Genomic DNA, 27597 nt, shown 5'->3' with positions numbered 1-27597 from the left:
CATTAGGCAAATCATTTTATTTATCTAATTTCAGCTTGTTTACCACTAAAATAGGGGTCATTTAAATATCTATCTTGCCTTTCTCTCAAAATTAATGAGAACCAAACAAAATGATGTGTGTCAAAGTACATTTTGTTCTTATTTTAAAGCAATCTACGAAATCAAGTTTTTAACAAGTAACAAAGCAGACAATGCCAGGATTGGAGATGTGGAGAGTGAATGGGAGGAAACGGGAATGAATAGTGCAACAGCTCCTTCTGTGGCACAGAGCATTCATTTCTGTCTACAAAATGGAGCTCCGGATCTGCTGGAAGATAAGTTATCTCTGCTATATGCTAAGGTCCTGCCTCTACAGAACCAGTTTGGGTGCTTGATTGTACAGATGCAGGATAACACTGCATTGTTATCCTGCATCTGTACAATGTACAAAGAGAGTAACATTGTTTTGCTTGAGTTAAGTGACGATTTATGAATTCACTAGATTAAAAGCAATAAACAATAATATCTGAAACTTTCTTTTTTTTTTTTTTTTTTGAAGCTGAGTCTCACTCTGTCGCCCAGGCTGGAGCGCAGTGGCGTGATCTCGGCTCACTGCAAGCTCCGTCTCCCGGGTTCACGCCATTCCCCTGCCTCAGCCTCCCGAGTAGCTGGGACTTCAGGCACCTGCCACCACACCCGGCTAATTTTTTGTATTTTTAGTAGAGATAAGGTTTCACCGTGTTAGCCAGGATGGTCTCGATCTCCTGACCACGTGATCCGCCTGCCTCGGCCTCCCAAAGTCTGGGATTAACAGGTGTGAGCCACCGCGCCCAGCCCTGTCTGAAACTTTCTTAATGACTCAGATGTAGATACTGGTTAGGGCACTTTGGTTGCAAGTGATAGAAACCCAATAGAAGCTAAGCCAAAAATGGAATTTATTGATTCATGTAACTGAGAGTGTAATTAAAAAAAAAGGCCACAGATTTTTGGGTGCTTCTCCATTCAAGAGGTGAAGCCCAAATACCCTCATCTTAGATGTGGGCAAATTTAGTGACTTGCTCTAACAAATAAGATAAAGCAAAAGTAAAGGTTTGTAACTTTGGAGAGTAAGTCATGAAAGGCACTGTGCTGTCATGGCTGTCAATCCTTGCTGTCTCTTGGATTAGTCACTCTAGAGGAAGCCAGTTACTAAGTCGTGAAGAGAGGTTCACATGGTGAGGAACTGAGGAACTTGCTAATACGGTTCCTAAAAATCCTTGCAGAACTGCTAATAGGGTTGTTCTGCAAGGATTGTTTTTCACATATCTGGCTGGGACTTGGAGCGGGAAACTTCATTTTGAAGAACAACTGGGAAAAAAAAAAATCCTGCCCCCAAGTAAGCCAGCTTTGTTTCCTTACAGAGAAATGTGCATGAGGCTTTGCCTAGCACATTTGGCCTCCAACCAACAGCCACGTGAGTACACCACATTGAAAGTGCGTCTCCAGCCCCAGGCAAGCCTTTAGATAATTGCAGCCCCCTACTGACACCTTGCCTACACACTCACCAGAGATTCTGACCCAGAACCACCCAGATTAGTCACTCCTATATCTATATCAGAAATGCATGAGATAATAGATGTTTGTTGTTTTAAGCTACTAAATTTTGGCATAATTTGTTACCAAGCAATATATAAGTACTATAGGATACTTCAAAAGTTGGCTTGACTTCAGACATGGCTCAATCCAAGAAAAAAATTCATCAGGATATCCTCTTCCCTTTACAGCTCTGATTTTCTGTGAATGGAGGCTTCATCCTTCAGATAGTTTCATCCATATACCTGGGAAAGGTGGCTGCCAGCAGATATTGGCCTACAGGCTTATTATATATAACTTGTCATCCTAGAGAAAGAAAAAAATCTTTCTTCCAGCCTCTATATTCAAATCTTAAGGAATATATTATGGGCTTTCTTTGAGCTTCAAGTCCATTTCTAAAACCAATCATGGTGGCCAAATGGAATGAGCATTCTGATTTGCCAAAGTGGTCTCATGTCACCCCGTGTCTTCTGTTCCATAGATTGCCTTTTCATTCAGTTGGTCGTTTGCTGTGCAGAAACATTTTAATTTGAGGTAGTCCCATTTGTCTATTTTTGTTTTTATTACCTGTGCTTTTGTTGTTATGTACATGAAATCATTGCCAAGGGCAATGTCATGAAACTTTCTCTTCTGTTTACTTCTAGGAGTTTTACTGTTTCAAGTCTTACATTTAAATAATCCATTTTGAGTTGATTTTTGGTATAAGATAGGGTCCAATTTTATTCTTTTGCATGTGGATATTCAGTTTTCCCAACACCATTTGTTGAAGAGATTATCATTTCTCCCACTGAGTATGCTTGGCACCATTGCCAAATGTCAGTTGACTGTATATTCACGGATTTGTTGCTGAGCTCTCTATTCTGTTCTATTGGTCTGTGTGTTTGTCTTTATGCTGGTAACATACTGTTTTGATTACTGTACCTTTGCAGGATATTTTGAAATCAGGAAGTATAATGCCTCCAGCTTTGTTCTTCTTTTTCAAGATTGATTTGTTTATTCATTGTCTTTTGTGGCTTCAGATGAATTTTAGAATTATTCTATTTCTGTAAATAAAAATGCCACTGGGATTTTTGATGGGGATTGCATGAATCTATAGATCACTTTGGGTAATATGGGCATTTTAAGAATATTAAGTCTTACAACCCATGAATACATGATGACTAAATCATGAAGAAATACAAAGACTGGACAGACCTATGACTAGCGTAAAGATTGAACAAGTAATCAAAAAACTCCCAGTAAAGAAAATCCCAGGACCAAATAATTTCACTAGTGAATTCAACCAAACATTTAACAAAACTAATGCCAATTATTCTCAAACTCTTCCAAAAAAATCAAAGAAGAGAGAACACTTTCTAACTTATTTTATGAAGCCAGAATTACCTTTATACTAAAGCCGGACAAAGACACCACAAGAAAAGAAAATTACAGCCCAATATCCTTGATGAATATATAGATGCAAAAATCCTCAACAAAATACTGGCAAACCAAATTTAACATTATATTAAAAGGATCAAAGACTATGACAAAGTGGGATTTATTCCTAGGATGCAAGTATGCTTCAAGATATGAAAATTAGTTAATGTGATAATCCATTAACAGAATAAAGGATAAAAATTACATAATCATTTGATGGATGTAAAAAAGGTTTTGACAAAATTTAACACACTTTCATGAGAAAAACATTCAATAAACTAAGAATAGAGGAAAAGTACCTCAACCTAATAAAGGTCATATATATTTTTAAAAACCCATAACTAACATTATACCGAATAATGGAAAACTGAAATGTTTTTCTTTAAGACCAGAAACAAGGCATACATGCCCACTCTCATCACTTCTATTCAATTTAGTGCTGGAAGTCCTAGCTAAAGCAATTAGGCAAGAAAAATAAATAAAAGACGCTCACGTTGAAAACAAAGGGTAAAATTGTTGCTGTTTGCAGATGACATAATCTTATACATAGAAAACCCTAAAGACTCCATCAAAAAACTGTTAGAACTAATAAATTCAGTAAAGTTGGAGGATACAAAATCAACATACAAAAATCAATGGCATTTCTATACCAACGATGAACTATCTTAAACAAAAATTAGGAAAACAATGCTATTTGTAATAGCAGCAAAAAAAAAAAAGACCCTGGAATAAACTAAGAAAGTGAAAGGTCTGCATACTGAAGACTACAGTACTTTGATCTGTTACTGTTCCCCAATATCATAAAAACAAGGCTTAGATACTGTTTACTAAAGGATTTTATTATCTCCTATATTTATAGCTGAAATCACTTTCTCTGTTCTGTTCCCCTTATTTGTCACTAAACAATGTAGCATGAATCTGTTGGAATGAGCTTCCTTGCCTTCCAGACCATTCACTTTAAATATATCAATCCTCACCCCTTAAGTATAGACATTTATTACTACACCACAGTGAACAAAAAACATTAAATGTGGAAAAGGCTTTTAAGTAGATATTTGTTATTTTTGACTCCTTGTATCTCTTTTCCTTACAACTATTTTTTTTCAACTACTTTCCCCCTATCCCATGTGGTGCCATCCAGTCTTCTTATCACCATGCTTTTCATCTCCTGTTTCCTTTCTAGGCACAGGGGTAACATGAGACCACACTGGCAAATCAGAATGCTCATTCCGTTTGGCCACCATGATTGATTTTAGAAATGAACTTGAAACTCAAGCTAAGTCCATAAGAATTTTCCTTAAGATTTGAATATGGAGGCTGGGAGAAAGATATTTTTCTTTCTCTAGGATGACAACTTATAATATGCCTGTAGGCTTTGGGATCACTTTTTTATGACCTTTGGGCTTCTTGGATCAGAATGTTCATTTTCTTCCTCATATTTGGGAAGTGTTCAGCCATTATTTCTTTGAATACGTTCTCAGTTCTTTTCTCTCTTTTATTCTGTGATGCCAATAATGAGTATATTGTTCAGCTTGATGTTGCCCATAAGACCCTTGGGCTTTTTTTCACTCTTTTTCATTTTAATTTCTCCTCTAACTGAATTATTTCCAATGACCTGTCTTCAAGTTCATTGATTCTTTCTTCTGATTAATCTTGTCTCCTGTTGATGTCCTGTCATAAATTTTTTCAGTTCAGTTGTTGTGTTCTTCAGTTCCATTTCTTTTTGGTACTTTTAAATATACTCTATCTCTTTGTCAAAATTCTTAACTTTTTTCATGCATTGTTCTCTTGACTCTGGTGAGAATCTTTATGAGAGCTATTCTGAATTCTCTGTCAGGTAAATCACATAAGTTTATTTCATTAGCTCAGTTTCCAGAGATTTATCTTGTTCTTTGGTTTGGAACATCTTCGTATGATTATTCATTTTCCTTGACTCTTTGTGTTGGTGTCTGCACATTAGACAAAGCAGTCACCTGTCCCAGTCCTCACAGCTGGGCCTCAGAGGAGAAGACCCCCACCAATAAGTCTGCCCAGTGATTTGGGGGCCTTTAACAAATCATTCCTTCTCCAGGGAAATGTAGGTAGCCATGATTTTTGTCCTGTCTGTGCTGAGCCAGGAGGTGAGGCAGTAGAGGGCAGGGTGCCATGTCATCTACTGGTCTAAACCTCTGTCTCTGTCCTTCCCCAGGTAGCTAGATAGTACCAATTCTGTCAGAGCTCCAAGACTGACAAGATAGAAGCCAGTCCTCTGGGAATCTCCTCAGAAAAGTTGGAGGTCTTGGATATGTGAACCAACTCCTCTCACCTGGGAGAAACTGAGTGCTAGGGAGTCTCTTGCTGACTACATGGCACTGTGCTGGGGTTAGGGATTCGGACAAGGTGGTATCTCAAATCTCTCTACCAGCTTTGGTGAGTCTGGTTTTTGCATTTGCTGGGAGTGCAGGAGCCTTTTAGTTTCTGGATTCCTCACAAAGGAATTTAGCCATGAATTTTTGCAGAATAGATGTGTTTGTGGATTGAAGAAGGGTCCAGCATTTGCTAATACAACATCTTGCTGATGTCACCTGCCCCATTATCCAATTATTTTAAACTTCTGCTCAGTAAACTTGTTGGTGCCAGAGGAAGAAGCAAACATTTATAATCCCCTAGGTGGTAATCACTATCAGGATTATAGAAAAAGGTTTAGGGCTGCTGCCTTAATTCAGGCCTTATCTTTTCTCATTTAAACTGTTTGCAACCAGACTAAGGTGTTGAGTTTAGGAATGCACACTTCAGTGATGAAACTATAAATATAAACAAGGAGGTAATTGCTTTAAGCTTTAGGAGAATTATAACTGTAGTGGTACAGAAAAAGATTAAAATTGAGGTGGGGTATAAGGAGAGTTTCTGTGAAGCATGGAAAAATTTCTTCCCCTAATGGTAATTACAGGGGTATTTGCCTTACAACAATTCTTTCAGGGTAGCAGTTCTTTTGTAAATTCCTTAGGATTTCTACATACAATATTATGTCATCTGAAAATTGAAATTATTTTATTTCTTTTCTAATCTGGATGACTTCTTTTTCCTTTTTTTGCCTAATTGCCCTAGCTAGAACCTCCAGAACAATATTGAATAAAAATAGTGACAGCAGATATCCTGTTAGTTCCTGTATGGGGAAAGCTTTCAGTATTTTTGTTGTTTGTTTTGTTTTTGAGACAGAGACTTACTCTGTCATGTAGGCTGGAGTGCAGTGGTACAATCTTCTGGGCTCAAGTGATCCTCATGCCTCAGCCTCCTAAGTAGCTGGGACAACAGGTGCATGTTACCACACCTGGCTAATTCCTTTTTAAATTTTTAGTAGAGACAAGGTCTCACTATATCGTCCAGGCTGGTCTCAAACTCCTGTGCTCAAGTGATCCTTCTGCCTCAACTTCCCAAAGTGCTGGGATTATGGGCATGAACCACCATGCCCAGCCTGGTGTATGTTATGAAACCAGGAAGTGTGAGTTCTCCAACTTTTTAAAATCTTTTTTAAGATTATTTTGGCTATTGTGGATCCCTTTCAATTTCTTATGAATTTTAGGATTAACTTGTCAATTTCTTAAGCCACCTGGGATTTTGATAAGAATTGTATTGAATCTGTAGAGCAATGTTAATTTTTTTCATCCATGAACACAGGTTTTATTTCCATCTATTTTGATGATTTTAAATTTTTTAACAATGTTTTATTGTTTTCAATGTACCAGTCTTGCACTTCCTGTTACATTTTTTCTATGTATTTTATTCTTTTTGATACTATTCAAAGGGTGCTATTTTCTTAATTTTATTTTCAGATTTTTCATTACAAGTGTGTAGAATACAATTTATATCTGTATGTTGATCTTGTATCCTGCAACCTTGCTGAAATCATGTATTAGCTCTAATAGTTCTTTTGTAAATTCCTTAGGATTTCTACATACAATATTATGTCATCTTAAAATTGAAATCATTTTATTTCTTTTCCAATCTGGATGACTTTTTTCTTTTCTTTTTTTTTTTTTTTTTTTTTTTTTTTTTTTTTTTTTTTTTTTTTTTTTTGCCTAATTACCCTAGGTAGAACCTCCAGTATAATATTGAATAAAAATAGTGACAGCAGATATCCTGTTAGTTCCTCTTGGGGGAAAGCTTTCAGTCTTTCACCTTTAAGTATGATGTTAGCTGTGGGTTTTTCTTTTCTTTTTTTTTTTTTTTTTGAGACAGAGTTTTGTTCTTGTTGCCCAGGCTGGAGTACAATGGCGTGATCTCGGCTCACCAGAACCTCCACCTCCTGGGTTCAACCGATTCTCCTGCCTCAGCCTCCCAAGCAGCTGGGATTACAGGCATTTGCCACCACGCCGGGCTAATTTTTTGTATTTTTAGTAGATACAGGGTTTCTCCATGTTGGTCAGGTTGGTCTCGAACTCCTGACCTCAGGTGATCCGCCTGGCTCAGCCTCCCAAAGTGCTGGGATTACAGGCTTGAGCCACCATACCCGGCCAGCTGTGGGTTTTTCATAGATGCCATGTGTGAGGTTGAAGAAGTTCCCTTCTCTTCCTAGTGTGTTGAGTGATTTTATTACAAAGGGGTGTTGAATTTTGCCAAATGATTTTTCTGCGTGTATCGAGATGATTGTGTGGTTTCTGTCTTTATTCTATTAATATGATGCATTACACTGATGGTTAAATCAATCTTGCATTCCTGGGGCAAATCCCACTTGGTCAAGGTATATAATCCTTTCCATATGTTGTTGGACCCAGTTATCTAGCATTTTGTTGAATTTTTTTGCATTTACACTTAAAAGAGATATTGGTCTATGGTTTTATTTTTGATGTATTTGTCAGAATTTGGTATCAAGGTAATACTAGTTATAGAAAATAAGGTGGAAAGTGTTTCCTCCTCTTCCATTTCTGGAAGAGTTTGTGAAGAATTTGTACCAATTCTTCTTTAAATATTTGCTAACATTAATCAGTTAAGACATCCTAAATTGGGCTTTTCTTTCTGGGAAGTTATTTGATTGCTTATTTAATCTCTTTACTTGTGATAGCTCTATTCAGATTTTTATTTTTTCTTGAATCAGTTTCAGTAGTTTGTTTATTTATAGGTGTGGTGGACATCTGCATAAACAAGATGAAATGTCACCAAAATTTGGTTTAGATGCTGAGACTGATGATGTTACACACACCCCAAGAGAGTATGAAACATTTATTACTCACATGAGGCTTTTTGTGGAGAGCAGCTCACGTCTCCTAACCTGGTCTGAAAATGACTTGAGAGAGCCAGGAAAGGAGACTGGTTTGGGCTTTTTATGATGTTTAGAAAGTATGACTTGGATGAGGATTCCCACATGCAGGCAGGGCCATGCATGGTTTGATCGTACTGTCATTTCCCCAGGGTTTGTTGTTGTTTCTTTGTTTAATGACTTTTCTGAACTAATTCTGTAAAGTCTGTATTTTTTGTTGTGTGTGGACACTGAAGTCTCTGCTTGGTTAGTAGTCATCTAATAGTTGTACACGGATTTCCTCAAACACTTGGAATCAATAATTCAACCAGTCTCTGCCAAGGAGCTCTGTGTGAATGCTGAGGCACACTCAACACTCCGCCATGCAATTGACAACTCTGCATTCCCTTTACTTATGGCTTGTGCAGAGCCTCAAGATCAGCTTGAAGTGAGAGCTTAAGGCTTTCTTGGGTTTTTCCTGAGCATCTGCACAGTCCTGGGCATGGATGGAGTCCTATTTATGCATTTGGCAGTCTAGATTGCCAATAACACTTTGGAGCTTTTCAAAGTCCCTATGAAAATCTCTTTTTCCAGCTTCTCCTTTTAGGCTTTTTATTTAGCCAATTGCTTTCCCCAACTGTTATACATTACCCCAGGCAGCCACAAAGAGAATCAATTGCCTCTAGTTGTTTTGACAAAGTTTTTTACCCTGGGAAGCTTCCAGTCAGGTCAAATATAGCCTTGCAAGTGGAGCTTCCAGGGCCTGCCAAACAGGTCAAATAGTGACAATTGTCTAGGAATGGGACTTTGAAAGAACTCCAACTCCATTCTGTCACCTTCAGTGGCTGCCAGACTGCTGATTTTCATGGTAATTGCAGGCTGTTGGTTTCAAAGCTATTGTGGAGCTGGAGAGGGGGAGATGAGAGTAGTGCAAGTTACAATATCACAGTGCTCACAGAGATTTAGTCTTTTTCTTGAATAAATGCTCTGCAAATTGCTATACATCTTCAGTTAATTTCCAGAGCTATAAGAAGTTGAATCTATTTTTGTCACATTCTCATTAGTTTTATGGAGGAGAGACTCTTTGGGGGACCAGGGAATCTCAAGCATTGTTGCTGACATCCTCCCACATTCTTCTTTTTTTTTTTTTTCTTAAGCTTGAAATGCTCTTCCGTGTCAAGTCCCACTCACACCTTTCAGGCCTTGTATTTTTCTAATGGGTGTGGCTTTTCTGAGAACACTTTCTCCTTGGTACTTGCTTCCATTCTCCCCCTCCAAGTCCAAGAAGGCCATGACAAAAAGAGAGGTGGCCAAGAGGCTTTGACTGAATGCTTCAGATCTTGGGTTCCTGATGATGCAGCTATAATCTCAGGGTGGCCTTAATCGCTAGATGTGAACAATCTAGTTAGATCTATTTTTAGAGTGCTGTGTTATGTTCTTAAAAGAACAAACCGATAAAAGTTGCTCACAGTTTTGCATAATGTTTAAGGACCCAGTGCCACAGTAAGACCATATAAGTTCACTGCTTTCTAGCAGTGATAATGGTACCTACCTCACTGAGCTACCGTGAAGATTGAGTGAGAAACAATTCAAAGAAAATCCTTAGCACAGTGTCTGGTGTAACCATCCCATACATAGCTGCTGGGATTTTCATTATCATCAGAGCACCCATACCTAATAGAAATCTTGTATTATATATCTAAGTAGAAAGGGACCTCAGAAATTGACAAGTTCACAATTGCACACCAAGGGCAGTGACTTACTCTACTTCACATCCCTATTAAATGATATCTAGCCTGTGGTTTAATATTTCCAAGGACAGGAGTTCACTATCTTTTAAAGGTACCTCATGGTATTGCCAATCACTCTTACCACTAGGAAGCTTTTCCTTCTACTGAGCCCCAAATCTTTCTCCTGCTTTTCCCCTGGAACACCCTGAAATGAAGATATTATCATTTCTGTGTGATGGTCCTTCCATCTCAGGGCCTCCCTTATAACACTCTATAGTTCTTCTTTCTAGTTGTGCTCTAGGGAAGAGGCTGGTACTTCCGATTGCAGACCAGCTCTCCCTTGCCACAACCTGAAGTGTCCTACGGAAATCAAGCAGGGTCTGAAAGGCCTAGGCAAAAGGAATAAATTCCACCAAAGATCACAGGCTATCCAATTCTCTTTTCTACCTCCCTTCCCATGATAAGTGCATCCCTGCTCCACCTCTGCCCTAGGAACACTACCAAACACAAACGCACGCTCACACACACAGAAAGAATAGGTTTAATTTATTAGTTGCTCTTTAGCAAAGGCTATATAGAACATTATTGGGGTGAAAATTAAATTCTAGTTACAGATTCATGAAACTTGAAGCCAAATTAGTTTTATGAGACTATCAACTCCCCTTTCATCCTCCTACACAGCAAGGTACCTCATAGTCTATATAATTCTTTGCCGTTTTTAAATGATTTAAGCAGACATAATACATAATGCAGTTGATATTAAATATCTTGAGGAATGTCAATAGAACTACTTTCACTCTTAGGCATTAACTGATCACTTATAAATGTTCTGTTTATCCACTTTTCATTTTAGATTTTCTCCTTAAAAGGACTTTATGTGTGAACTAGTCATCATTATCTGCTATTCGTTTGTATACATGCATCGTAAGTCTTCCAAAATAACATTTAAAGTCTTTCTTAATATTGCTTTAGAAATGTTAACCTTTAAGGAACATTCAATTTAAAAAATAAAGATTCAGGCACTGACTCAGGAAGACATGTTCAGCTGGGTCAAGATTTTGTTTCCCCTGACCAGATAAAAGACTCTAACAACATACGGTGTGTCAGCTTCTTCTTTGCCCAACTCAGAGAAAGTCATATAAAGGAGAAAAAGAAAACATGCTTGAAATCACAGTGACCAAAGGATTTGAAGTAATAATTACATTAAATAACCATAACTTTTCATTTAACTATTCACATTCCACACAGTGGAAATTATCCTCTCCTCCAGATTTTTCACTTACACTCTTAACTTTGAAGACCTACAGTAACAAAAAACAACTTACAGACTTCCAGGATGTGTGTTTTTTTCTTTTAATGCCAAGCACAAAGTGTACATCATAAAATTCATATTTGGTGTTTGGCATTATTTTAATAGGTATGATCAAGACCACAAATATCTTGCCATAAAAATATTCTACTATAATAATGAAAAAATATATCATTACATCATCAGTGACTCGAATAAAATATGGTATAGATATGGCATTTTCAATGAAAGTTGGAAGACACACCACATTTGTACTAGTCTTAATATAGGCACAGTAAGAAGAACAGATATTTCCCTCTTTGGCTAGTGATATGCTTTTAGGGTAGTTACGCTGCTGATTATCCCAGTGAAGTTAGTGTTGAGGAAATTCTCTTTACTTGAGCCAAATCTGCACTTATGTGCAAGACTGTGGTACAAGCTCCTAAAAGAAGATTACTGCTGCCAACTTAAGTCATCTCCGTTAACGAAATTGCATTCTTGTGGCAGAGTTAAAACAACAAGAGAAATTCAGTGTTTGCTGGTTCTGAATGTCATTTTTCCTCCCTGGTGTGGTTTTACATTTTCAGCTTCTTTCCCTTTTCTTCTCTCCCACCCTCAAAATTCTGCCTTAGCATTTGTGTGCTTAATTAAATCCACTCTGTGCTTTATTGTTGGAGAATGTGGACAATACAAAGATTTGGGGTGGGGTCATACAGTGTATACAAAACACACACACTATGTGTTTGGACAAATTCGCCTAGCGTGAGAATCATCAGTAGTGAGTTTAAAAGTTTGAAAATCAGACCCAACATTTTGGGTGTTTAAAATATCTCCCGCCTTGAAATGGCTCCTGTTTAGTTGTTAGATGGGAGAGCACTGGATCAAAACAAAAACGAAATAAAAACAGCTTCTCGAGTTGCAAGGGTTCTCTGAATGCCAGAGCCTTGATCGGCAACTGAATCTCAAGTCTGCAGTGTTTGTTTTCCATATTACATAGGACTTGGCTAGGAGGCTGAGAAGATACAAGGCAAAAAGAGTATTCAGGGAGTTTGTATATAAAACCTCAGGCTTGAAGAAAACAGGTTAACCAAATCCAAAGTACAATAAAGTTCACCCACCCTGCACTTTGGCCCTTAGATCAATCCTAAGTAGCCATTGCCAGTAGGCCAAGTTTAATCAGAGGACAGTGCCTACCAGTAAATACTGAATAGTTACAATAGTTATGTCCATCCAACCAGTAGCAGATGAACAGCTAATACATCATGATGCTATGCTCTCCTAACAGGGTCCCCTCAGATCCTCAGTGAGCACATAAAGAAAGGGAGGTCATATCCCTTACATCTCTACCAGGTATTAACACCTAACTACTCTCTAGCCAGAGGCAATTCCCTTTATTTCCTTACTCTCGTCGTCTTCTCTTTAGCCCAATCTCCTGACAATAGTTAAAACAAAAAGACCCCCAAAATATCTCTTGCTAAAACAGAGTAGTCCCTAAACTCTCTCATCTTAGACTACTGTCAGGTACACTCAGCAGAGGCAGGATCTTTATCAATCAAGTTAGTGGCTCTCAGAAGCATTATGGGAAATAGTGGAATGGAAATGAGCTGACTATAACCACGATAAAGGAAAGGTATTAGGAATTTCAGCCTCTGAGGTTTTTGATTAATTCCCACCCCTATGCAGAGAGTTCTAAACTACCTCTCTTTTCCACCTGAGGGACAAAGCAGAGGAGTTGGTTTGGTTTAGCTAACTTGCTTGGGTCCGAACATAGGAGTGGTCAGTATTTATGTTTTCAGTTTGGTGTTAGGTTTGAGCAGATTGCAACGGCCAAAGTTAATCACTTTCTGGCAATCTCATTTCTCCTCTGTTCACTTGGGTTCTGTTAAATACTAGGAAAAGACTTTCTCAGAAGCATCAGCCTGTGTTCTGGTATTGGCCTTTCAAGCTTCTGCAATGTCCCTACTGACTTTTGCTGGACCTGATTTGGCCTCACCCTCCACCCTCCCTTTCTCACTCCACTATCCTGCTTGTCCTTGCCCACACCAGCCTCTCCCAGAGTCTGGAGGGTCTTCACAAAATGAAAAACATTTGCATCATGGTTAAGTGAATTAATTTAGGAACCTTGGCAAACAAGAGATTAGACTGACATAGTCACTATCAACTTAAGAAGAGATGGATTGTGAGGAGGAGGAGGAAAGGAGGATGCAAGCACAGGTTAAAAGGACTTTTCCATGTCGAATGCAGCACTAAAACAGGTCTCTTGCCCTCAGAGGAGCCTCTTCCATGAACATTCATTCCGAAAGGAGATTCTGGTCCCCAGGAGGGCACAAAAACACAAAGTCAGAACCAGACCACGGCCCCGCCCCTTTAGATGTGAGCCGGGGTGAGGTGGGTTTCTGGTACATCCCCATTAAAGCAGATATGTTTACAAAATAGGGAGTGCTCTCTAGCAGAGACTGTGTTTTCTCTGGTGTCTAAAAACACCCACAGGCACCCATCCACACTCATGCACACGAACTACGCACAAGCAGGCTCCTGCCAGGAGGCAGCTGGGGGTTCTTCTGGCCTCTAGGTTTAAGCCAAGTAAGAATCTGGTTGTTTTAGGTCTGGGACTTCCTGGGGCTGCATTCCTAGGACATGCTGGGTGCACCTGGATTTGGCTTAATCCAAATCGATGGATATGCAACGACACTGCTTCACACGTGTGACTCTCTTCTTCTTGGTAGGTGGCTGTAGTTCAGGGCAGTTGAGTGTGACCATCATGGTAGTGAATTTCTTGGGCTTGCAGAAGGAGCAGGACTGAAAGGAACCTTCCTCCTTCCGGATGTGCCTGGGGATGTAGAAAGAGTTGCACTGGCCGTAACAGAAGCGGTTGATGATGGTGCGACTGTTGCAGCCTTCCTCGTGGATGGTCTGCTTAAGCGGCTGGGTTTTGCACCAGTCTCGCTTCAGGTATTTGCGCTCCGTCACATGCAGGGCCTCTTGGCTGGACTCCAGCACCTCCTCCCCGGGCATGGCAGTGCCCCGCCCTTGGCCCCGCCCCCGGTTCCTGGAGCCAGGCTGCTGGGGCGACTGAGTCTGCTCTGAGTCATTGTGCTGGGCCTTGTCTGGCGGGGGGATGGCACCTTGGGACCCTTTCTTTTTCCCTTCAGCAGCCGGCAGCAGGGTCCCCAAGAGGAGAAGCAGGGCTCCCACCGTGTAGGCTGTGCGGCTCATACTAAAGAAAGGAAGCACAGAGAGGGGAAGACACAAAACATGGCAAAGTTAATTTAAAAATTAATAATAATAGCACCTAGCATTTAAACGCACCGTTAAACACTTAACGTGAAATATTCCATTTACTTCTCACAGTACCTGTATGAATTAGGTACTATTATCTCCATGACCCAGCCATCAATCCATGGAGTAACTCACCCAGAGTCCCACAGTGACTAAGTCAAGGTTTAAACTCAGCCAGGGCCTAGCTCTTCTCTGCACCTATTCTCACAAGAACTTCTTCCTGGCCTCTGGCACCAACCACATTTGTCTTTGTATTACGTTCACTTATTGAGGGGAACTTATTTTCTATTTTGTTTTACAGCAAGATGAATTAACCTCTCTGCTCAGAGGACTTCATTCCTCCGGAAACCTCCCAGTCTTTTCTCCCCAACTAGCCTGAGGCTTCCTGAGCTGTGAATGCTTATGAGACTTTGCATTTTTATCATATGTGGAAGGAGAGATTCATGGAGACCAGAAGGCATTTGACAGAGGGAAAACAACAAAACAGGAAAGGTCGCGCTCCTGGTGCAGTAACTTGCTATCTGATCTTAAAGATGTCACTTTGTCTCTCAGTAAATCACTCCATTTAAGCAAAGATACCAATACTTCGTCTCCCCAGGTACGCTGTTCAGATCCAACTCGATGTCAATGTGACAGCAATTGGAGAACTAACCAAATGTGTGGCAGTACTGCAGATGGAATGAAAGACAGTAGCGTGTAGGTGACGTGACTCATGAGGCTTCACCTCTCACTTATTCTCATCTTGAAACTGGGCACAGATACTCAATGTATCACTTTGTACCACGATATACATTTTTCTACCTTTTAAATAGTGAAATATGTCATTCACATGTGTCTGTGTATATACAATTTAAAAGGTAGAAAAATGGGCATGATAGAACAAGTATGTGCAAATATTTACATTAATAAATGGCATGGGCATGCTGAATAAATTAGTGGCAATGGATTAGTGGATGGGTCAGAAGCTAGATATGGGTCTGAAAGGGCAGTGATATGTGAACAATGGCAAAAAATAACAAGGAGGTGAGGTGAGGGAAAACCGACAAAAAATAGGAAACCATAGACAGAGAGAGAAAAGAATGAATGAAGTGAAGAATGCAATTCAGAGAAAGGGGAACTCTTCTACAAGTTGAATGTTCAGGGGAGGTAGTAAAGGCAGACAGAAAAGGCGGAAGAAGAGGGAAAGGTGGAGAAGGAGCAGCATATTTTTAAAAAGGAGAGTGCAAGAGAGAAGCCTCAGACAGACTAAAAAGATTTTCCTCCTGGGACAGTGCTTCTTAGACTTGAAAGTGCAGACAATTGGCCGGGCGCAGTGGCTCACGCCTGTAATCCCAGCACTTTGGGAGGCCCAGATGGGCGGCGGATCACGAGGTCAGGAGATCGAGACCATCCTGGCTAACACGGTGAAACCCCATCTCTACTAAAAATACAAAAAAATTAGCCGGGCGTAGTGGCGGGCGCCTGTAGTGCCAGCTACTCGGGAGTCTAAGGCAGGAGAATGGCGTGAACCCGGGAGTCAGAGCTTGCAGTGAGCCGAGATCGCGCCACTGCACTCCAGCCTGGGTGACTGAGCGAGACTCTGTCTCAAAAAAAAGAAGAAAGAAAGAAAGAAAAAAAAAAAGAAAGTGCAGACAATATCTGGGGATATTGTTAAGATGCAGATTATGATTCAGCAGGTCTGCCTTTTTATTAAGCTTTGAGTAGCAAGGCCTATAAGCACTTGCTGCCATGGGGCACGGAGAGAATTATTAAAGTGTGGAGGGATTTTCTTTTCAATGGATGCAGTTTCAAATTCACAGTCTCCCTCCTGCGGCCATCACAACAATCGGACCTGAATCCTGAAGGTTCTCCTGTCCCACTCCTGTGGTTTTCTGAACCTAAGAACACAGCTGTGTAGCAAACATTTTCCTTCTCTCTTTGGAATACCAGTATTACACATAATAACCACTAAGTGCAACTTAACAGTAACATTATTTCTCCCACCAAAACTGGACAGGTTGGTATTATTAGAGCAACTACCTTGCGCAAAGGCAGTGTAGGATCTAGATTTTCTAATGAACAGCACATGGTAAGTAAACACCATTCAACTCTAGGATAATGTCAAATTAAAATAATTAAATATTGAATTTAAGATATCTTTAAATGGCACCATCTTTCCAACATTAACCTAGTACTTTTAGACCATTATAAGTTCGGAGCTGATAATGTGACATTCAGCTTCTGCTCCAACTGTAGGTTTCCCACCTTTGGTCAGTGTATGTTACAACATCCCTGCTCTTTATGCAGAGCTTTTGTTTTACCCCAACAACAAAAAAATTACTTTACTTTGTCTTTTAAAAAAAAGCACTTATACTATACCATGCTGTTTTTGTTACTGTAGCCTTGTAGTATAGTTTGAAGTCAGGTAGCATGATGCTTCCAGCTTTTTTCTTTTTGCTTAGGATCGTCTTGGCTATACCGGCTCTTTTTTCAGTTCCATATGAAATTTAAAGTAGTTTTTTTCTAATTCTGTGAAGGAAGTCAGTGGTAGCTTGATGGGGATGGCATTGAATCTATAAATTGTTTTGGGCAGTATGGCCATTTTCATAATATTGATTCTTCCTATCCATGAGCATGGAATGTTTTTCCATTTGTTTGTGTCCTCTCTTATTACCTTGAGCAGTGGTCTGTAGTTCTCCTTGAAGAGGTCCTTCACATCCCTTGTAAGTTGGATTCCTAGGTATTTTATTCTTTGTAGCACTTGTGAATGGGAGTTCACTCATGATTTGGCTGTTTGTCTATTATTGGTGTATAGGAATGCTTGTGATTTTTGCACATTGATTTTGTATCCTGAGACTTTGCTGAAGTTGCTTATCAGCTTAAGGAGATTTTGGGCTGAGATGATGGGGTTTTCTAAATATACAATCATGTCATCTGCAAACAGAGACAATTTGACTTCCTCTCTTCCTATTTGAATACCCTTTATTTATTTGTCTTGCCTGCTTGCCCTGGCCAGAACTTCCAATAGTATGTTGAATAGGAGTGGTGAGAGAAGTCATCCTTGTGGCGGTTTTCAAAGGGAATGCTTCCAGCTTTTGCCCATTCAGTATGATACTGGCTGTGGGTTTGTCATAAATAACTCTTATTATTTTGAGATATGTTTCATCAATACCTAGTTTATTGAGAGTTCTTAGCATTGAAGGGGTGTTGAATTTTATCGAAGGCCTTTTCTGCATCTATTGAGATAATCATGTGGTTTTTGTCATTGGTTCTGTGTATGTGATTGATTACGTTTATTGATTTGCGTATGTTGAACCAGCCTTGCATCCCAGGGATGAAGCCAACTTGATCATGGCAGGTAAGCTTTTTGATGTGCTGCCAGTATTTTATTGAGGATTTTCACATCAATGTTCATCAGGGATATTGGCCTGAATTTCCTTTTTTATGTTGTGTCTCTGCCAGGTTTTGGTATCAGGATGATGCTGGCCTCATAAAATGAGTTAGGGAGGAGTCCTTCTTTTTCTATTGTTTGGAATAGTTTCAGAAGGAATGGTACTAGCTCCTCTTTGTACCTCTGGTAGACTTCGGCTGTGAATCTGTCTGGTCCTGGGCTTTTTTTGGTTGGTAGGCTACTAATTACTGCCTCAATTTCAGAACTTGCTATTGGTCTATTCAGGGATTCAACTTCTTCCTGGTTTAGTCTTGGGAGGGTGTATGCGTTCAGGAATGTATCCATTTCTTCCCAATTTTCTAGTTTATTTGCGTAGAGGTGTTTATAGTATTCTCTGATGGTAGTTTGTATTTCTGTGGGATCAGTGGTGATATCCCCTTTATCACTTTTTATTGTGTCTATTGTCTATTTGATTCTTCTCTCTTTTCTCCTTTATTAGTTTGGCTAGCAGTCTATTTCATTAATCTTTTCAAAAAAAAAAAAAAAACAGCTCCTGGGTTCATTGATTTTTTGAAGGGTTTTTTGTGTCTCTATCTCCTTCAGTTCTGCTCTGATCTTAGTTATTTCTTGTCTTCTGCTAGCTTTTGAATTTGTTTGCTCTTGTTTCTCTAGTTCTTTTAATTGTGATATTAGGGTGTCGATTTTAGATCTGTCCCGCTTTCTCCTGTGGGCATTTAGTGCTATCAATTTCCCTCTAAACACTGCTTTAGCTGTGTCCCAGAGATTCTGGTATATTGTGTCTTTGTTCTCATTTCTTTCAAAGAACCTATTTATTTCTGCCTTAATTTTGTTATTTACCCAGTAGTCATTCAGGAGCAGGTTGTTCAGTTTCCATGCAGTTGTGTGGTTTTCAGTAAGTTTCTTAATCCTGAGTTCTAATTTGATTGCACTGGGGTCTGACAGACTGTTAGGATTTCTGTTTTTTGCATTTGCTGAGGAGTGTTTTACTTCTAATTATGTGGTCATTTTAGAATAAGTGCGATGCGATACTGAGAAGAATGTATATTCTGTTGATTTGGGGTGGAGAGTTCTATAGATGTCTATGAAAAAACTACTTTAAATTTCATATAGAACCAAAAAAGAGCCCATATAGCCAAGACAATCCTAAGCAAAAAGAACAAAGCATCACGCTACCTGACTTCAAACTGTACTACAAGGCTACAGTAACCAAAACAGCACGGTACTGGTATCAAAGCAGATATACAGACCAATGGAACAGAACAGAGGCCTCAGAAATAACACCACACATCTACAACCGTCTGATCTTTGACAAACCTGACAAAAACAAGCAATGGGGAAAGGATTCCCTATTTAATAAATAACGTTGGGAAAACCGGCTAGCCATACGCAGAAAACTGAAACTGGACCCTTTCCCTACACCTTATACAAAAATTAATTCAAGATGGATTAAAGACTTAAATGTAAGACCTAAAACCATAAAAATCCTAGAAGAAAACCAGGGCAATACAATTCAGGACATAGGCATGGGCAAAGACTTCATGACTAAAACACCAAAAGCAATGGCAACAAAAGCCAAAACTGACAAATTGGATCTAATTAAACTAAACAGCTTCTGCATGGCAAAAGAAACTACCATCAGAGTGAACAGGCAACCTACAGAATGGGAGAAAATTTTTGCAGTCTATCCATCTGACAAAGGGCTAATATCCAGAATCTACCAGGAACTCAAACAAATTTACAAGAAAAAAGCAAACAACCCCATCAAAAAGTGGGCAAAGGATATGAACAGACATTTCTCAAAAGAAGACATTTATGGGGCCAGCAAACATATGAGAAAAAGCTCATCATCGGTGGTCATTAGAGAAATGCAAATCAAAACCACAATGAGATACCATTTCACGCCAGTTAGAATGGCCGTCATTAAAGAGTCAGGAAACAACAGATGTTGGAGAGGATGTGGAGAAATAGGAATGCTTTTACACTGTTGGTGGGAGTGTAAATTAGTTCAACCGTTGTGGAAGACAGTGTGGCAATTCCTCAAGGATCTAGAACCAGAAATACCATTTGACCCAGGAATCCTATTACTGGGTATAGACCTAAAGGATTATAAATCATTCTAATATAAAGACACATATACACATGTTTATCGCAGTACTAGTCATAATAGCAAAGACTTGGAGCCAACCCAAGTGCTCATCAATGATAGACTGGATAAAGCAAATGTGGCACATATACACCATGGAATACTATGCAGCCATAAAAAGGATGAGTTCATGTCCTTTGCAGGGACGTGGATGAAGCCAAAAACCATCATTCTCAGCAAACTAACACAGGAACAGAAAACCAAACACCGCATGCTCTCACTCATAAGTGGGAGTTGAACAATGAGAACACATGGACACAGGGAGGGGAACATCAAACACTGGGGCCTGTCGAGGGGTGGGGGGCTAGGGAAGGGGTAGCATTAGGAGAAATACCTAATGTAGATGATGGGTTGATGGGTGCAGCAAACCACCATGGCACGTGTATACCTATGTAACAAACCTGCACATTCTGCACATGTATCCCAGAACTTAAAGTATTATAAAAAGAAAAAGAAAAAAAAAAAGCACTTATGAGAAACGCCCAGTTATAATACAGGACTGAATTTTTCCAGAGACTAGGATAAGACAGTGTGGCAATTTCTCAAGGAGCCTTCTCCTGGTCTCAAAATATAGTGTGAATTTGAGAAGGTTTCACGAATTTCTGGTATTCAAGTTGGACGAAGATCTAAAATAAAACACAATTCAGTTGCTCCCCATTTCAGAGGAGGAGTACATGGGATGGCCCCAGGCCTATGCCCCAGTCTTCCTCCATACCTCCTGAAAATGGCCTCCAGACAAATTCACCCCTCCTAGACCAGGACCCTCTGAGTTTGTCATCACAGAGGCCAATCTGAGACTAACTGGGAATGTATGTTCACTGCATAGGACAAGTTTACCTCATAAGGCCGATTCCATAAACATCTATCCGAAAAATGCAATTTTATTTCTCTGAACCAACTTAAGGCTTTCTTTATACTCAACTTTTCCTTCTTGGCATTTTCACATCTGTTATTGAGTAAATATCTAGTCTGACAGTTGATGAGGGCTTATTCATCACCTTACCCTCAGTGCCTGGCACAAGGCAGGTGCTTATAAAAATTTGGTAAATGCATGATTATTATGAACCTCATTGATTTACAGAGGTACCATTCTTCGCATTTTAAAATGCCTTCACCAGTGCCCATGAGCAGAAGAGCCAATTGCTATCCTTTGGATGTCTAACTCTCAGTGTGGCAAATTCCTTCCATCCTAGAGAGCTTCCTAAGACTTGTCTTTCTTTTTCTTGGAAAACTCCAAATGTCCCTGACTTTTTACCTGTTCTCATATGGAATGCTATGGGTTTCATTTTCTAATTGAAGCCATTGAAATTAATACTATCGCAGAAGCCAACAGCAGAGCTATAAATTCAAAATTAGTCAACTGTGGTTTTCAGTTTTAATTTGGACAGACTTTCTGTTTCTATGTGAGTGTGCCTACCTTCTAAGCCAAAGGGTCTAGAGTGACAGACAGGCTTTTTTTTTTTTTTTAAAGAAAAGTACATTTTCCTCAAAATAAGATTTATTAGCTATGGAAAGTGAAATGTTTTTTCATTTTTTAAAAACCTATTCTTCAAAAATCTTTAGTACTTATTGTAAGATGTCTGAGTTGCCAACCTTTGTTTATTCAGAGAGAAGTAAACACCAACTTCAAGAATGTCAATCGAGACCTCAGCTTCTCAGAGAACAGCAGTGCTCTGAGGCACACTAGCTGCTCTACATGAGTGACAGTAAGCAGGGTAAGAACTATAATTCATAGTGGAACCAGGGCTCTGCCACATCCTTGTCAATCACTCAAGCTCTCCCCACCCCCAGACTGCTCTTGATTCTTCAGTGAAGGAAATAGTAGTGATGTGCACTTGAAATCCCAGTTGTAGTATCACCAAATAATGTGCACTTTGTAAATATCAGAGATGTAGAGGAAATGCAGAAGATGTACATTTCTTGAGGACAATTCTTTTCCACAGCAACATGTAGAAGGGTGTCCCATAGTAAAAATTCAATCCATAGCTCATCCAGACTTAGGTTCCTATGACATCATTCATGCGCCGTCATTAGCTGCAAACACTTTATGGTAATTTCCACCACTTATGAAATGGCCTACTCATATCACTAAATTAAATTAAGCTGCATCTCATAGACTCAGGGTGCATCAAGATACCTGACATCTCCGTTGATTCTTTTTTGCAGACAGTATATCTTCTTTTCAAACTCTGCCTCAACTTCCCATCAATGCAGTTCAGCTTCTTCAAGAAATGTGATGTTATTCTCATCATGAGTTTTCTTTGCAACTGTCCACCAGCAAGTCTCACCCCATCTCCACCTTTTTTTCTCTTTGCCTCTATCCTCTCTTTCATTCCACTTGTCCCAGAGGACACATACTCTCAAAGCAGGTCCTCTCTACAGCATGCTTTCCTTCCAGTTTCCCTTAGGGATCAAGAGTAAACATCTACAAGCAAGGTAAGCCATATTAACCACCTCTATCCTGTGCAGGTCATGGCAATGTATTCCAATTTTCACAAAGCCTCTAGGAACACAATATTCTAATACTGAGGACTGAGAAATAAAAATGGTATATGTATGACCTGTTCCCAGTGTTCATGATGTCTTTGGGAAAGTTTAAGCCAGCTCTTTCCATCCCTCTTCTTGCTGTATTTCTCATTTTAGCTAAGCAACCTGCTCATAATCAGTGAAAGGGAGTTTTGAGTAGGAATTACAGTGAAAGCCAAATGTCTGTGCATGGACTTCTGGTCAGTTCCTCCTGATGAATCAAGCTTTAGAAAGACATTCAATAGGCATGACATCAAATTATTCTCTCAGCATAAGAAATAGTGGAAGTGACTACAAATGCTCTAAGTGCAGGCCAGGTTTTAGAAAGATCTATTCCTTTTTCTCAGGTCTAAATCTTTGGGAAAACTATAGCTTATTTTTAATTTGATCTTTAACTTTTAAGAAGATAATTGTGTTGACTTTCTTTTTCAGACAAGTTGCACCAAGGAGATAAGAAGAATCCCTTGTTGGCAGACAGGTAGAGGATAAAGTCTCATCCCCTTTGTGTTGTAAGAACCCTAAACAGCCTCTCAAGTCTGAAGACCAGGTCGGCTAAATCAGGCTGGGGCCCAACATTGCATAGGACAGGGAGGAGACCACCTGGTTGTGAAATATCTCAGGAGCTCTATGTTTGTCAAAGATTTTCTTAGGAAAGTTAATGACTATGTACAATTCTTGAGGTCAACAAGAAACGAGTTAGAAAGTAATAAATTATTAAATGTTCACTGAGCAGCACTGCTGAGAGACGGCCAAGTTACAGGTTCTGTTCTGTAGTGAAAGATGTGTTAGTCACTGCGTAGTGTGGTATTCAGGATTTTTTTTTTTAAGAGATGTCACCCAGGCTGGAGTGCACTGGCACGATATCAGCTCACTGCAACCTCCGCCTCCTGGGCTCAAGTGATTCTCCTGCCTCAGCCTCCCAAGTAGCTGAGATTATAGGCGCCTGCCACCACACCCAGCTAATTTTTGTATTTTTAGTAGAGACGGGATTTCAGTGTCTTGGCCAGGCTGGTCTCAAACTCCTGACCTCGTGATCCGCCTGCCTCAGTCTCCGAAAGTGCTTAGGATTACAAGCGTGAGCCACCTCACCCGGCCAGGATTCAGGATTTAATTTCAGAACTGCCCTGTGATATATCCTGGTTCTGTATAACATTGCTACTTTTCCTAACACCATTACTAATAATAAGAGCTACCTTTTATTTTGAAGCCCTTACTGTGCCAGGCATTATGCTGATTTCTGACCCAATTTTATCATTTATTTTTCATAACAAAATATGAGGTAGATAATATCATCTTCCTTTTACCAATCAGGGAATCTACACTCAGAAAAGTTGGAAATTTGTCCAAGGTCACACAGCTCATAAGTGGGAAAGCCAGCATTTTTTTGTTTGTTTGTTTTGTTTTGTTTTTTTGACGGAGTTTTCACTCGTGTTGCCCAGGCTGGAATGCAATGGCGCTATCTGGGCTCACCACAACCTCCGCCTCCCGGTTTCAAGCAATTCTCCTGCCTCAGCCTCCCAAGTAGCTGGGATTGCAGGCATGCACCACCATGCCTGGCTAATTTTGTGTTTTTAGTAGAGACGGGATTTTTCCATGTTGGTCAGGCTGGTGTCGAACTCCCGACCTCAGGTGATCCGTCCTCCTTGGCCTCCCAAAGTGCTGGGATTACCGGTGTGAGCCACTGTGCCTAGCCCAGCCAGCAGTTTAAACCCAATTCTATCTAGCCCCAAACACAGGTCCTTAACCACTGTCCTATTGACACCCAGTGCTGTCCTTAACAGTGGGTCAATGGATATGTTTTCTAATGCAATACAATTTGAAGAGTGCTATAAATAAAATAATTATCTATTTTGTATCTTCATGTTCACATGTGAATAAAAAGATTTCTCTTGTCCCAGGAATTCCTGTTGTACTTTGAATTTCTAAGAGCATATGTTAAAACTAAAGAAAATTCCTTGCAGATCGAAGACACGGGCTGGTAGCACTTGCCTGATGGTTGCCTTTTGGTTAGAGGCTGCAGTCACCTCCCCTAACCACTGTCCCCCACCTGCCTTTCCTTTACATAAAAGGTTTATATTTCCTGGCTGTCCTTTACTCTCTGTTGTGGAACATGTTCCACAGCTTTGCTGTCAACAAGCAGTTCTTGGGGGAGGTGTCTGCGGCATGAAATTTCTTTGCATTTTATCACTTTTAATACTTGACCATTCAGACTGAAGGCATCTTCGGCTTAGTTTCAAAGACAGGGTAGGCAGCCCTCATTCAGAGATGTAGGACATAAAAGGTTTTTATCCTTCCCTGTGTAACTACTCACATAAAGACCGCATTAGCCAACCTGGATTTCCTACAGAGCGTGGGTTACCAAAACATTTCACTAAAAATGAACTTTTAAGAAAATAGGAAACCTGTGAAATTACAAAGTTTACAAAAGACTCTAATTCCTACAATGACCTGGAGGTTAAACACACACACACAGACACACACACACACACGCACACATACTGCCACTACCCTGCTAAAAATCCCTGAAATAGTTAATATTAACAATTTGACAGTGCCATTTATCCAGAGATAGTAATCAAATCACCTACTGTTATAGACTTGGCTTGGGGGGCAGTGAGAATATATAGTTTTCTTAAGATCTTTCCCTCCTTGCTTTGAAAAGTACATCCCCCCCTCAAGACTCTCATGCTCCCCCTCCTTCCAAAAAAAGAGAAAAGGGGAGGGGGAAGCCCTAGGGATGAAAGAGGACTCCTCACCCTAGAATGGGGTTATCTTAACCTCTTCTACGCTATTTATTTAACTTGTGTGTACAGCCAGAAGGAAGCCACTACTCTGGGGTCCCTGGGACAGCTTAAAACCCTAGTGACCCACTTAACACAATAGATTGTTTTAATCAGTTCGTGTCCTGGCACCATCTCGAAGGGGAACATAAACAGACGCGCACACCGCTCAGATTTGCTCTTTCCAGCAGGAGATCCAATTACCTATCGGTGGTCACCTCTCTGCCCTCGGACCGTTTAAGAGGGGGATTTTAACCCCTAACGCTGAGGCTGTATTTCTGTCTATAAGAGCCGAGATTCGGAGTCGGTCGAGGAGGGGAAGGCAGTAGACGGATTCGACCCGGGAATGCATTAGGGACAGCTCCGGGCGCGCAGGAATTTCTTCACAGCAGAGGCTGGTCACCTGCCGTCCGTCCCTCCCCGCCTGGCCCGGTGACCGTCGCCAGAGCCTGGCGCAGGCAAATAAACGCCAAGCTGGGGCACCCCCAAGGAGGAGCTGCGATCCGAAGGCAATGCCAAGCGAGAGCGGTGGCGCGTCTGTTCTTCCGGAGTCTGTAGTCTACAAATAACTCCGGCCAGCAAGGAGGTGACAGCCCCAATATACCTCCCACTCCCCTGCTATGGCCTTGCTCCGCAAGCTGTGGAGGGGCCAGCGGAGCCAGCCAGGCAGCGAGAGAGAACGAAAGACGCCCAGCTCGTTGCAGCCGCCAACCCGCCTCAGCCGCCAGTCCCTAGTCCTCAGGAGCTAGTGAGGCGCTGCAAGGCGAGGCTGGGGCCTCTAGAACACAGTTTAAGGGGTGCGCGCGGAAGTGGGAACCAGCCGGTGGCCGCTGCCCGGCGCCAGAACGTCTACCATTCAGCCCGGGCGTGCGCGGGGCGGGGAAGAGGCTGGAGTAGAGAAGCGAGCGCCCGCGAGTGCGTGGCCGGTCCGCGAGCGCGTGTGGTGTCTGCCTTGTGAGCACTGCGGGTTCGCTGGACCCCGCGGCCAGGGCCGCGCCCCGCACCGCAGCTGTCGGATTACCCACCGTTCGGTTTTCCGCTGTGGCTGAACACAGCGGCTCTGCCCTTGCCAGTCTCCATCTCACCTCGGGGATCGGCAAATGCACACATCATGGATTCTCCGGATGCTCCAACCCGCGGACTCCAATGGGCGCCCCAAGACGCCCCCAGACCCAGCGCGGCGCCCCAAGCACATGGGACCCTCTCAAGGCAACTCGCCGCGCAGTCAGCGGCCGACTAGCAGGTCCGGATGCTCCTGCGCTCTGGCGGCCTGGACTTCGCGCCCTCGCTAAGCGGGCGCGTCTGCCAGGCGCTGCTGCCACCAGCACCAGGAGCGTGTTCGGGGGCCTCCGGGAGGTGGAAACGGGATGTGGGGGTCATCCTGCCCGCTCCTGACAACTTTTTTTCCTACGTTTCCCTGCAGACCCAGAGCAGCGAGGTCACGGTGTCCGCGGCCTCAGCAGGAAGGACCCCGCGATGGTTCTTCACAATTCACCCCCGCGAACAACGCACCCGAGCCTGCGCGCACGGAGGGCTGCCGCGCGTGGAACTGAGCGGGTCCTGGGTTGGTTTGCGGCCCTCTTCCCTCCGCCCACTCACATCCCTGCCGGGTGCGTCCGCGCTCACCTGTCAGTGCGGCGGGTCCTCGGGGCCTGCGCTTTCGACGCGTGGCGCTGAGTGCGGCCGCGGCCAGAGCCGCCGGGGCTCGGCGCGGGGTCAGCGGGACCGAGAGTGACGCGGCGGCCGTGCACTGGGTCGCCCGGTCCGCGGAAGGCGCACCGAGTGCCAGGCATCGCGCCGTCTCCCGTTTAAATGCCGGCGGCAGAGCGCGGCGCCCGGGGCCGCGCCTCTCCATTGGCCAGGCGCCGCCGCCGCCGCCAGACCCGCTATCCGCCCCCTTTCCCGGTACTGCCCCCGCCCCCCGCACCCCTCCTGCTTCCCCGCGGGGTCCCCTCTCCGCCCGCCTCGCCTCTTTGTCTGCTCCCCCCGCCCGGGCCGGCTGGGAGAGGTCACCCCAGGGAACCGCGCCTGGAATGCACAGCAAATCACATTTTCCGCTCCCGTTGGAGAGGGAAGAGCGGGAGGAAATCCCCCCGGCTGGCGGCCCCTCATTCCTTCTCTGCCCCAGGTCTGGGCTTTCCCTGTCGGCCGCCCGGCATCGCCTGCGTTGGTCCCGCGCTCAGTAGCGGAGACTGCGCTGGGAAGAGCGAGATCTCCGTGGGATCGTGCCAGATTCGGCCATTCTTCCCCTCTGGAGGGAACGGGACTGCGGGATGCT

At 42.0% G+C, this 27597-nt stretch overlaps 1 protein-coding gene and 1 long non-coding RNA gene across 5 annotated transcripts, besides 4 other annotated features; one reads left to right on the top strand and one right to left on the bottom strand.

Annotated features, from left to right (window-relative positions):
- On the bottom strand, window positions 1-27103 carry GREM1 (gremlin 1, DAN family BMP antagonist). Of its 4 annotated transcripts, none has more exons than NM_001191323.2 (3): window positions 26946-27103; window positions 14303-14417; window positions 10442-14179 (listed from the first exon to the last, which is right to left on the bottom strand). In NM_001191323.2, the coding sequence occupies exons 2-3, from the start codon at window positions 14414-14416 to the stop codon at window positions 13862-13864; spliced, it is 432 nt and encodes a 143-aa protein (NP_001178252.1). In that variant the 5' UTR covers window position 14417; window positions 26946-27103; the 3' UTR covers window positions 10442-13861. The 4 variants fall into 4 exon arrangements, with proteins under 4 accessions (NP_037504.1, NP_001355648.1, NP_001178252.1 ...); NM_001191322.2 differs by having other exon boundaries at window positions 14390-14417; NM_013372.7 differs by having other exon boundaries at window positions 1-14417.
- Window positions 13702-14241: an enhancer, noted in NCBI's record as "H3K4me1 hESC enhancer chr15:33023067-33023606 (GRCh37/hg19 assembly coordinates)". NCBI's record gives its function as "activates a minimal SCP1, AML or CMV promoter by ChIP-STARR-seq in primed H9 embryonic stem cells {active_cell/tissue: H9 hESC(primed)}" and the evidence as "EXISTENCE:reporter gene assay evidence [ECO:0000049][PMID:30033119]".
- Window positions 25803-26380: an enhancer, noted in NCBI's record as "H3K27ac-H3K4me1 hESC enhancer chr15:33010928-33011505 (GRCh37/hg19 assembly coordinates)". NCBI's record gives its function as "activates a minimal SCP1, AML or CMV promoter by ChIP-STARR-seq in naive H9 embryonic stem cells {active_cell/tissue: H9 hESC(naive)}" and the evidence as "EXISTENCE:reporter gene assay evidence [ECO:0000049][PMID:30033119]".
- On the top strand, window positions 26242-27006 carry GREM1-AS1 (GREM1 antisense RNA 1). The gene is made up of 2 exons (NR_109767.1): window positions 26242-26562; window positions 26743-27006. It is a non-coding gene; the product is annotated as a GREM1 antisense RNA 1 (long non-coding RNA).
- Window positions 26381-26959: an enhancer, noted in NCBI's record as "H3K27ac-H3K4me1 hESC enhancer chr15:33010349-33010927 (GRCh37/hg19 assembly coordinates)". NCBI's record gives its function as "activates a minimal SCP1, AML or CMV promoter by ChIP-STARR-seq in naive H9 embryonic stem cells {active_cell/tissue: H9 hESC(naive)}" and the evidence as "EXISTENCE:reporter gene assay evidence [ECO:0000049][PMID:30033119]".
- Window positions 27097-27597: an enhancer, noted in NCBI's record as "H3K4me1 hESC enhancer chr15:33009711-33010211 (GRCh37/hg19 assembly coordinates)". NCBI's record gives its function as "activates a minimal SCP1, AML or CMV promoter by ChIP-STARR-seq in naive H9 embryonic stem cells {active_cell/tissue: H9 hESC(naive)}" and the evidence as "EXISTENCE:reporter gene assay evidence [ECO:0000049][PMID:30033119]".

The sequence above is a fragment of the Homo sapiens genome, chromosome 15 (genome assembly GCF_000001405.40).
Source record: "Homo sapiens chromosome 15, GRCh38.p14 Primary Assembly".
Taxonomy (NCBI): Eukaryota; Metazoa; Chordata; class Mammalia; order Primates; family Hominidae; genus Homo; species Homo sapiens.
This window is presented reverse-complemented; position numbering and strand designations above follow the sequence as displayed.

Coding starts and splice junctions, on each gene's coding strand:
- GREM1 (NM_013372.7), bottom strand. CDS start 14,416: ATGAGCCGCACAGCCTACACGGTGGGAGCCCTGCTTCTCCTCTTGGGG.